This window comes from Homo sapiens, chromosome 2, assembly GCF_000001405.40.
Source record: "Homo sapiens chromosome 2, GRCh38.p14 Primary Assembly".
In the NCBI taxonomy this organism is placed as follows: Eukaryota; Metazoa; Chordata; class Mammalia; order Primates; family Hominidae; genus Homo; species Homo sapiens.
In genome coordinates this window covers 7,121,364-7,133,381 of record NC_000002.12, presented here as the reverse complement: position 1 = coordinate 7,133,381, position 12,018 = coordinate 7,121,364, and the positions used below count along the sequence as shown (strand labels likewise).

The 12,018-nt window shown below is 42.4% G+C and overlaps 1 long non-coding RNA gene across 1 annotated transcript in view; it reads right to left on the bottom strand.

The window, feature by feature from the left end:
- The window catches only part of LOC124908053 (uncharacterized), a 35,124-nt gene extending 25,137 nt beyond the window's left edge, over positions 1-9,987 (bottom strand). The window contains exon 1 of the long non-coding RNA XR_007088654.1: positions 8,744-9,987. This is a non-coding gene — a long non-coding RNA (uncharacterized LOC124908053). The remainder of the gene's footprint in view (positions 1-8,743) is intronic.
- Positions 9,988-12,018: the final 2,031 nt, after the last annotated feature.

The window sequence follows — 12,018 nt, the reverse complement described above, 5'->3', positions numbered from 1 at the left end:
CCCAGCAGAGTATCAGGGAACCAGCCCAGCAGAGTACCAGGGAACCAGCCCAGCAGAGTATCAGGGAACCAGCCCAGCAGAGTATCAGGGAACCAGCCCAGCAGAGTACCAGGGAACCAGCCCAGCAGAGTACCAGGGAACCAGCCCAGCAGAGTATCAGGGAACCAGCACAGGGGGCCAGGCCACAGAGCAGCAGGGAGTCACATCAGGCCTGTGGGGTGTGGTGGAAACCATCAGAAGGTAGTTAGCAGGGGAACAGCGCAGTTGGATTTCCCTGTGAAGGGCTCCCTCTGGGTTCTAGGTCAAAAATAGACTGCATTACACAGGCAGGAGGAGAAGCTCAAACTAATTGGGAGGCAAGAGAGAGATTAGGGCAGTTTGGATTGGAGCCTATCAAAGGAATTGGTGAGGATTTCAAATTCTGGATTTATTTTGAAAAGAGTCTGCTGAGATTTGCCACATAAGCAGAAAGAAATGCAACATGATGCACTTCCTGGTCTCTGGCTTGGGAAACTGCAAAGAGGGATTCTCATCCCCTGAGATGCAGGTGGCAGTTCTGTGTAGGAACAGAGGAACGAGGCCTCGGTTTTGGATAGGTTATGTGGTGATGCCTATTGAATATCCAACAAAAGCTGTCAGGTAGACAGATTGAGAAGTCTGGAGTTCAGTGGAGGGAGGCTGAAATATATACTCAAGATTACAGAAGTTATTTAAAGCAACAAGATGGGAAGAACAGCAAAGGAGTAGTGTATCTGTAGAGAGAAGGAAAGGGCCAAGGGAGAGACCTGGGCTGCTCCAGCACTGGGTAATGTCTCCAGGAGGACTGCCCCAGGGGGGACTTTGAAGAGCCCAGGACTTGTGGCTCCCAAACCTGTTTCAAAAAAATTCACTCCACTTTTTGTGGAAAGACACATGGCATAGTTGTTCTACCCACATTGGACCCAGACTGCTTGGGTTCAATTGCATCTTCTACCACTCACAAGCCTTATAGCTTTCAACAGGACAGTTAATATCTTACTGCATTGGTTTTTTTCATCTATAAATTGGGAATAATAAGGCTACCTTCCTAAACTTGTAGATTTATTATGAGGATTATATGAGTTAAATATCTTAGTAAAGGGTCAGACACAAAACGTGCACTGAAAAAATGTTAGATGTTATTATCTATTTTATGGCTTGGGGTTATAAATAATTTCCCATTGGAACAAAGAAGTTGACTACTCTAAAGAACTTTGTAAAAATGACTAGTAAACCTTTATAACCAACGTTTATAAGTAAAAACAAAGTATTAAGTGTGCATAATTATGCATTAACATTGGGAGGTAAACGAGAGCATCTTAATACTAATTATGGCCAAAAAAACACAAAAAGTGTTATAGAACATAAATGTCTCAATTGGAGAATTGTATTGTTTGCCAAAAACAGGGAAAATGTAAATTGTAGACATGTATAGCAGAAGACTGTCCCACTGGCAAAACTGTCAGTCGAGTCTCCTTTAGTATAAACTCTAATAAACATGTAAATGAGCCCAGTTAGAATATGCTGTTTCTGACTACTGAAAGCTTTCATACAGTAGCATCTACAAGCTAGTCACTCCTTTGTTATTTCTTTATTGAAGGAGCAATTTTCCAACGCAAACCTAGACTTGCACAGATGCATTTTCCTGAACTGTAGGATCAGGGAGCAGAGTGGCAAGCTCTGAGAGGCCTGGCAGATCAGGAAATTTACTACAGAGAAACTGCACGCCTTGTTCAAGTTTGCAGGCAGAACTGAGACAGAGCCTAGGTCCCAGGTTCTCACATTTAAACAGCGTGGCATTGCCTCCTCAGCCCAGGTCTGCCTCCCACCTAAAATGTTGGTACTGTTGGTATGAAGCAGGTCTTCTATCAACAAAAGGAGCAACGTGGTGGTGTGAGATCCTGCAGAGCCTGCCAGGGTTTTTATTCTGGTTTAGAGTACGCATATGGAATGTGCTTACTCTAACACTCTGAATAAGACTTCAAATCCAAGCCCTACTTGTTAACAGCGTATCTATCTTGAGACTTGTGCACTAGGCCACTTGGAAAAGCCAAGCTCCTACCCCAAAATATTGGTAAGTTGAATTCCCACCAAGTTGCTGTTTGAAAACTGAGTACCTGTCTGTCTTGAGTAGGCCTTTGCAGGTACTGCTGGGAAGCTCTAAGTCTCTAAATATTTGTGATGGTGAAAAGTTGTAATCAAGGAGATAATTGCTACCTGAGACTGTTTTTCCCTTTCCAGTGATATTAAAAGACATCTGTAAGAAAAATTATGTCTTGTATGTTCCAGCAGTTTGCACTTTTCACCTCTATCAACCTTATAAGGCAGGAAAAATTTTCCCTATTTTATGTATCTGGCCCAAGTTCATATACCGAGTCTAAAATAAGAAATGACACTGAGAATTATCTGAATTCAAAATGTTGGCTCTTTTCAACACATAATATCTACTTCTGAAAATGTGAACTTTCTCATTAGGTTTAATCTGTTAAACTTCTCTATTCTTATGTGACAATACCAAAGCATCTTTAAATTCTTCTGATAAAGTAACATAATGTGTTCATTTTGATGACAGAGCCAGGTGAAAATGTCTAGATGGTTCAACCAAAATTCAGAGAGAAATTTCTGTTGGATTAAGTCTCTAGTGTCAGGTCCACAATGTGCAGACTTTTGCCCCTTTAGATGGAAAAACAATATTTACCAATTTTTGTAATTGAAGAAGTAAATGTTCACCTCTAGAAGAACACTGCCAATTATGTGAATAGCATTAAAAACTCCAAAGCAAAGCTAACAAAAGTAGCACATTTTTATAAAACTGCAGAAGTTTGATTTAATCTGTGAGAATTTCTTCTTCACACAGATTTTTGTCATCTCTCTTAGCTCCAGGGGCCCCTTGATGACAAATTAGCAAGGTGCTACTGTCTTGAAACTAGCAGACATTTTAGCACACTGACATTCAGCATTGTGACCTGCTTCTTGCTAGACTGCTAATTAATATTTGCACTGGCTACAGAATTAGCTTGTTTTTTAGACTATTTCACATTCAAAGACTGCCTCCAAGGGAAGCAGGATTTTATTGAAAAGCCAACTTTAACTTTGTTTTATTAATATTTATAAGAAGAACCACTACAAAGTCTCTACTTTTGCTAGACCATGCAGGCATCTTGCATGTTTTGTACTGTCTCAACTGCACTGCAATTGGGCAAGATAAATAACATTGCCCCGATTTTGTGGTTTAGGAGACTAAGCCTCTAAAGTGTAAATAATTTGCCCAAGAACATGTCGTTGCTGAGGGCTGCAACTGAGATTCAAATCTGCTAACAGAATCCAGAGATGTTACTAAATGGACCAGACCATCATCATCCAGCTAAAGACAATCCACTAGACAGGGGAATAGAAATCAATTCAAACTTCAAGTTATGCACTGCTGCTATGAATGGAGTGTGTGTGCTGTTCCTCTACTCTCAAATTCAAATGCTGAAGCCGAAATTCCTAATGTGTTGGTATTCAGATGTAGGGCCTATGGGAAGTAATTAGGTCATGAGGGTAGAGTCCAGTGAATGGGATTGGTGCACTTATAAGAAGAAATAAGGGAGCTTACTCTCCTCGACCCCCCATCACGTAAAGGTACCATGATAAAACAGCCATCTGCAAACCAGGAAGGGCAACTTCACCAAACACCAGATCTGCCAGTGCCTTGACCTTGGATTTCCAGCCTCCAGAACTGTGAGAAATCAATTGCTGATGTTTAAGTCACCTAGTCAATAGTATTCAGTTATAGCAGCATGAACTAAGACATTGCCTAAGCAGGAGTCCTACATTACTATAGTTTTCCTGCTCCAAAAAAGAAAAATAAGATGTTCTTCGAAACCCAGTGATTTTACTGGGAGTTGTGTTCCTACACCAGTGCTCCCCTGCTATCCCACCAGCATGCAAATATTATCACAAATAGCTTTAAAAAACATAAAACAAAAACCACAGCCATTCTGACTAGTTGGTGCTCAGTGCTGCACCAGCTATTAAATATTTTGAATAGTGCTGAAAAAGAACAGGAAGTGCATCTTCCAGTGTTTCTTTGTGAAGACAAGACAGTTTTCTTGATTCAAGACAATATAGTTGAAGATATATGAACATATATTCCATCCACTCACCTATATCTTTGTTGAAAGAGTTACAAAAGTAAAATCAAAGAGATACATATATTTTTATTGATCCTATAAATTTCTTTGCAAAGTCACCCCAAAGTTAGCAAATTTTCCAACCTATATTAGTTCCTTCTAAAATACTCTGACTACAAAAATAATATAAAAATTCCTATTCTATTTTACAACTTTGGGATACAAATGGAGTGGATTTTTATATAAATCTTCTCCCAGCTCAGGCCTCATTTTCCTTTACATGTCTAATTTCTTCATGGGAAAACAGTAGGCAGAGGATGATTTTACCTAGCTGAAGTTGGGAAGTCAGAAGACCTGAGTGAAGGGTGCCTCCGACCTGTGGTTATACACAGAAAGCCGGGAGGCAAAGTTGGACTGTTGCAAATTTCAAATTTCATAAAGTCAAAGACCATGTCAGTTTTATCCACTAAACTATACTAAGAACCTAGTACAGTGTCTGGCATACAGAGGATCTCAGTAAACATGTGTTTAATGGACGCTAAGAAAATATCAAAGTGAAAACAAACATAAGGACTCCAAATCATGTGGTCAATTACAGAGATCCATGACCAGGAGTAAACAGAACAACAAGCTGATCAATCAGAAAAGCAGTAAGCAAAGAGCTTCAGGAGAGAGCTCGCAATGCGCAGTGATAACAGTGTCGGTGCATACAACACTTTATCTCCTCCAAGTAGGACTAAAAAATTTTGTATTCTCTTCCAAAAGGAGAGTGCTGCCTGGGGCAGGAAGGGGAGGTGGAGAGAGAGAGAAGGAAGGAAGGAAGGAAGGAGAGGGGAGGGGAGGGGAGGAGAGGGGGGAAAGGAGGAAGGGGGGAGGGGGGAGGGAAAGGGGAGGGGAAAGGGGAGGGGAGGAGGGGGGGAAGGGAGAAAGGGGAGGGGGAAGGGGGGAGGAGGGAAAGGGGAGGGGGAAAGGGGAGGGGGGAGGGGGGAGGAGGGAAAGGGGAGGGGGAAAGGGGAGGGGGAAAGGGGAGGGGGGAGGGGGGAGGAGGGAAAGGGGAGGGGGAAAGGGGAGGGGGGAGGGGGGAGGAGGGAAAGGGGAGGGGGAAAGGGGAGGGGGGAGGGGGAAAGGGGAGGGGAGGAGGGAAAGGGGAGGGGGAAGGGGAGGGGAGGGGAGGGGAGGAGGGGGGGAAGGGAGGAAGGGGAGGGGGGAGGGGGAGGAGTGAAAGGGGAGGGGAGGGGAGGGGAGGGGGGGAAGGGAGGAAGGGGAGGGGGAGGGGGAGGAGGGAAAGGGGAGGGGGAAAGGGGAGGGGAGGGGAGGGAAAGACATATATAAATGCCTAAGCCTGGGTCCTACTTACTATAGTTTTCCTGCTCCAAAATATATACAGAGATATATTTCTACAGACATAGATATAGATGTTTGTGATGGTTAATATTAGTTGTCATCTTGATTGGATTGAAGGATGCCTAGATAGCTGGTAAAGTATTGTTTCTGGGTGTGTCTGTGAGGTTGTTGCCAGAGGAGATGGACATTTGAGTTGGTGGACTGGGAGAGGAAGACCCACCCTTAATGTGGATGCCAATCAGCTGCCAGCTCAGCTAGAACAAACCAGGTGGAGGCAGGTGGGATAAGCTGGCTTGCTGAGTCTTCTTTCATCTTTCTCCCAGGCTGGATGCTTCCTCCCTCTCCACCTGCCCTTGGACATCAGACTCCAGGTTCTTTGGCCTTTGGACTCTTGAACTTTGGACTCTTTTGATGGGGCCTCTTGAGCCTTTGGCCACAGTCTGAAGGCTGCATTGTCAGCTTCCCTGCATTTGAGGCTTTTGGACTTGGACTGAGCCACTACTGGCTTCTTTCTTCCCCGCTTGCAGATGGCCTACCATGGGATTTCGCCTTGTGATCATGTGAGCCAATTATCCTAATAACTCCCTTTCATATGTACATATATCCTATTAGCTCTGTCCCTCTGGAGAACCCTGACCAATACAATGTTCTTTTCTGCCCTAGATGAAAGACATACAGTTCATATAGGCATATATCTCTGGAGATAAAGCAAAATCATACAGTATTCATATGATTTTGGCAATATTTAGCCAGAGCCACATAAATGTTCATCTTCTTTGAGTTGATATTGGGAATTTATTGACTCAAGTCTTAGCAGCTTAACAGAACAAAACAAGAGTCGGTTCTGCAGCTGCACAGAGCCCATTGTGGATCATCGTGGGCCGAGACTCCTCTGGGAGTTCTCCTCCAAGGATCCATCCATTGAGGGGATCCGGCATCCTTTGAGGAGCATCTGCTGGCTTCAGGCTCCCCCAGATGCTCTATAGCCATTCAGAATGGAGAGAAGAGATGGTGTGGAGAATGCCACCGAAAGTTCAAAGGGGCTGTTCCTTCTTCCCATGATCCACTGAGCAACACAAGTCACATGGTCCTCCTTATCTAAGAAGGAGGGAAATAGGACCTTCTAGCCCCAGCTGCCACAGGGCATACACTTAACATTCAGCTTCAGTTCTACCAGGCCCAAACCAGAACTAGCCTAAGTGGTTAATAATAAATAAATTATTGGATAAGTTTCCTATTGGATAAGCAAACTGGAGACTTTCAAAGCTATTACATGGCAATAAAAGATTGCTAGCATACATGCATGCTGTCTACAATAGAATGGATACAGAAAATGTGGCACATATATACCATGGAATACTATGCAGCCATAAAAAAGGATGAGTTCATATCCTTTACAGGGACATGAATGAAGCTGGAAACCATCATTCTCAGCAGACTAACACAGGAACAGAAAACCAAACACTGCATATTTTCACTCATAGGTGGGAGTTGAACAATGAGAACACATGGACACAGGGAGGGGAACATTACATACCAGGGCCTGTCAGGAGGTCGGGGGGTAGGGGAGGGATAGCATTAGGAGAAATACCTAATGTAGGTGATGGGTTGACGGGTGCAGTGAACTACCATGGCACATGTATACCTATATAACAAACCTGTACATTCTGCACATGTATCCCAGAACTTAAAATATAATTTTTTAAAAAAGCCTGAAATTAGGCACTTCCATGTAATAATACTTACTTCTTTAAGAAATGAATGGGAGTAATAGATTATGAGGCAATTAGCTTGACCAAGATCACATTGCTACAATAGTAATATTATGTTGCTATAATAATAATAGTGATAGTGATGATTGATGTTTATGATGGTGATAAACTATTTGAAAGTTGTAGAAACAAGATATGCAGATTATATAATAAACATGTATTTTTGGACAAAATAAATAGAGATCAATCAAATAACTGTTGATTTCTTATTTTAAGAAAAAATTCAAATTGAGGTTGATGTTTTACCCATTTTCATTTTCGTTACTTTTAGTATACAATTAATGCATGGCTTTGTTGGCAAAATAGAAAACAAAAGCAAATGAAAAGGAAAGAAAGGAAAGGAAAGATGATGCTTAAGCCCTTTAGAAACAATGGGATATTGACATCAACTTGCTTTGACTTCCGTTAACCTAATTGGAACGAGGGGATTTTATTTTCTTATAACAATTTTGGAGTTTGTCTTAAAATTTCCTATAGATTTCCAACAAACATGCTTATGTTATACAATAAAATTATACTGCATATATTTTCTGTAATATTTTATCAAGTTTTCATGTGAGTAGAAAAAATATCCATTATTATTTCAGTGGCTGTGTCATTCTACTGCATGAGCCTAGACTATTATTAGCTACACAGCCTTCAATTATTAAGATTACAGTTGATTAACTTTTGTTGTTACTTTAAAAAAACACTTTAATGAACATCATTGTATACCCATATTTTAGCAATTGATCAATAATTTTCTTTCAATCAATCCTTAAAAGCAGTTCAAAACACTGATCACTTTTAAAGCCTTCAATGCGTGCCACAGAGAGGTTGCAGTGATTTGTTTTCACACCAGCTGTGTATGTGTATGTCAACCCCTCTCGCCCTCTTCAACACTGTATATTCTTATTCTATTTAATCATTGTCAGTCTTCACAGTAAAAAAAAAATGGAAACTCTTTGTTGACTAATTAAGACCACTCAAGTTAAATTCGACACCTACAAAATATGCCCAAAACTTTAAGGTATTTAGATTTTATGCTACAGTTTTTTCTATGCTATTTAAAAAATTTTTCCTTACCAAGTTTCTCCCCACTTTGTGCATTTCTTGTTTCTTTCCCCTCTGAATGCTTAACATCTACTTCAAAAAGAACCTAGAGGATATATCTCTAGAACTGCACGTTTCCTGGCTACCTCTCTGCCTCAGGAGCACAGAGACAACAGAGTCAAGGGAACAAATTGTGCTAGAGCCCCTACCTCTTAGGAATTCCTAGGAGAAGAGACTCAGGTGTCTTGGCACTTAGGATGCTCCAAACTGAGCAATGCACAGGCAAACACAATGGCTGTAACCACCAGCTCCCTGATGGCCCTTTGATTTGGAATAATTGACTATTTTCATTTAAAGTTAGTGATCACCTATTGAAAATGTACTGTTAGTGGTTTTGCAAAAATTCATTCATTTTCCAAAAGACAAAGTACTGTGGACTGAAGGAGAGGCATCTCCCCTCACCTTAGCTGATAGAGTTTCTCCTTGGCAGGAGGTTCTTACACAGGAATATCTGCCCTCATGGGTGATCAGAAAGACCAGCAGATACCTCGGCAGCCAATGGATGCTTGAAGCTCCTGTCTGTGAGTCTCACAAGATAAGGGGGGAAACTGTGACTTCAGCCTGAGCCTCTCAAAGAGTGCCAACCTGGATGGATGTTGGAACCTTGTGGTGCAGGACTTGAGGTGTCCTGAGTGTGCTGTTCCCTCCTAAATGGAATACCTGGGGCGGCCAGCCTGCTCACACCTGGGTTCTCTATCAACAGATTTGAACTGGTGGAATATTAACACCCGGAGCCGCTTCCACCAAGGAAGATCGTCAGTGCTCAAAGACGGGAGGAGATGGATCATTTGTCATTTCAGAACTGAATCCAGAAGTTGTTCTTCAAATGGTAATGCAAATAAATCAAACCCCACAGGTTTTAAAGATCTCTTGCAATATTTATAATAGAAGAAACACAGAATGTTTATAATGAGAGAGAGAGGCAGTTGATGAAAAAGAGGCAGTTGATGAAAGACACATGGGCACCAACTGAGCTGGAGTTCACCCAAATAGAGAAAGAAATACTGATCCCACCTGACTCGCACCCCCATCTTCCTCTGCCCGCTCATCAGGTAATGAGCTGAGCTAAGCAAAGCAGAGGGAGGAGAGGAAGCCTTTATAGCAACATCCTTGGTGAGAATGAGGTCTTTATGGTGATATTTTAGCAACTGAAATTAAAAATCAAGGACTTTCTAAAAATTATTAAAAGAACATTTTAGCACGTATTGCCATGAGCCCACAAGGCATGGCACCTGCAGAAGCTGACCAGCAGAGTTCAGCTAACAGAATATGAGAAATCAAGGAAAAGCTGCCATAGAGATGGTTATCTTAGTCACACTTAGCTGCGGGAATTAATTTTAGAACCCCACGCTACAGATAGAGCTTGTAGTTCTGCATGAATAGGCTTAATAAAATGTGTAGGGTTTTTTCCTTCTCAGTCCTGAGTGTGGGTTTGGTCCTCCTCAATTCTCTTGCCATCTTCAGAAAGAGTTGAGTTAAAGAGGTCCTTGGATATTGTTAGAAATAGGTATTTGATCTGTGAGAAACTGAATTTTTGGCCCCTGAAGTCAAAATTCAGATAAGAAAAGAAGGCACAAAAATTACTTTTTTGGGGGCAGGGGGGCGGGGGGACAGAGTCTTACTTTGTTGCCAGGCTGGAATGTGATCTCAGCTCATGGCAACCTCCACCTCCCAGGTTCATGCAATTCTCACGACTCAGCCTCCCAAATAGCTGGGACTACAGGTGCACGCCACCATGCCCAGCTAATTTTTGTATTTTTAGTAGAGATGGGTTTTCAACATGTTGGTTAGGCTGGTCTCGAACTCCTGACCTCAGTTGATCCGCCCACGTCGGCCTCCCCAAAAGCTGGGTGTGAGTCACAGCACCCGGCCACAAACAGATTACTTTAAACAGACTCCGAGGAGAAGACGGCCTGGACAAGGTGTGTGGAGGCTTGGTCTCATGGAAGTTACCTATTGGGTCAGGCACTCTGCGCTGCCTCCAGTCTGCCCCTTCATTTTGCCTGTGCCTTGAGAGGCTGTTATATCCCAGGATATTCCTCTTCCAGAGCAAGAAACATGACGGTTACTCCAAAGTAAGTCTATCCTTCTGGCAGTTCCAAACTGAATAGGTGGGGCTAGTTAAGCAGGATCACTGCTTGTCTGAAATCGGAAGTGGAGATTTGAAGTACTTCTACCCATAGATTAACATGGATCCTATTCTTTAAACCAGCTTCTGTCTGGATGCAGTGAACTAAGGGAAGGGAGAACATGAAGGGGAAAAAAGGAGAAAAAAGAACATGACTCATTTAGAATGAAAGCTGACCCAAACCATAAAAGGTCACCTCCAGCTATTTCTACGCTATTGTAACATATATTCCCTGTAACGTTCCCTTTAAACTATTGTTCATTCCACGTCTTTCCAGAGTGCTGTAGGTACATGTTTTAGGGGACACCTCAGCAGGGGCAGGGTGAGGTCTCTAGAGATTCTGTTCAACCATAGTCCTCTTGCATCTTTCTGATGGACACCTAGCAAAATTCACAGTGCCTTGATCTGTCCTGGGAGTACAGATGAGGGCAGAGTAATTAAAGAAATTCCACTTTGCAGTTAAGGAATTTATTCCCTGAACCCAAAGATTTGAGCAAAATAACATAGGGGTATCACTAACCTTCTTGTATAGGGCGCTTTCTATTTCTGATGGAGGTGAATTGCCTTTCCTGCATGGAGGGGCAGTGGTTGCAGCAGAATTGAATGAGAAATAGCGAGACTGAGATCTGGCCTCCATTAGCCACAAAACTAGCTTGAAAAATGTGTTTTCCAAGTTTTCCTGACCACTCTAGGCTTGTCTGAAAATAAGGCTGTTGAACTAATTTGGGAATGAAATTGGGACTATGTAGCCCCGTGATGTCACTTCTCTCTCCTATGCCCTTGACAGGCATTGATAATTAAGATCAAAACTCTTGTCTACTTAAGTGGGATCAGGCTTCAGGATCCTACACAGGACAGCACTCCAAACAACCCCTAACACTGATCACGGTGCCTCACGGGATAAGACATCCGATTACCTCTGACAGCCAAGTTCCCTCTAGCCGTGAAGCTGTGTCCATCTGAAAGCAGGACCAAGTATGAATTCACCTCATCTATTATGAATAAATCCTTAGTTAACATGTGTTAGACATTTGCTGTATATAAGGATGTATACTCATTTTCTCCTTTATTCCTCATAACAGCCCCATCAAGTAGATAGTGTTATAAATTCTATTTCTCAGATTCAGAAGATGCAGCTTGGAAAGATGAGATGACTAATTAAGGTTACACAGCTGGCTCCAGATTCAGAATTTTAGCCCTGTTTTGGGGATGTGGAGTTTGAGCCAGTCAACCGAGACAACCTCCATCTTCTAGGAAAAATGTATCTGTTCCCTCTGAGGAATCCTGAGCACCTAGTACTTTTTAATTAACAAATATTCTGATTTCTCTTCCCCTTGATAAAAATGAGGTCTCTGTCCTGGTGTGTTGCAGATGCCACAGCCCTACCTTAGTGGGCCTGGCTTGCATGTTAAGAATGAGCCACCTAATGCATGTGGGGCTTAAAACCAACATGACGGGTTGATGGGTGCACCAAACCACCATGGCACATGTATGCCTATGTAACAAACCGGCACGTTCCAAACCACCATGGCACATGTATGCCTATGTA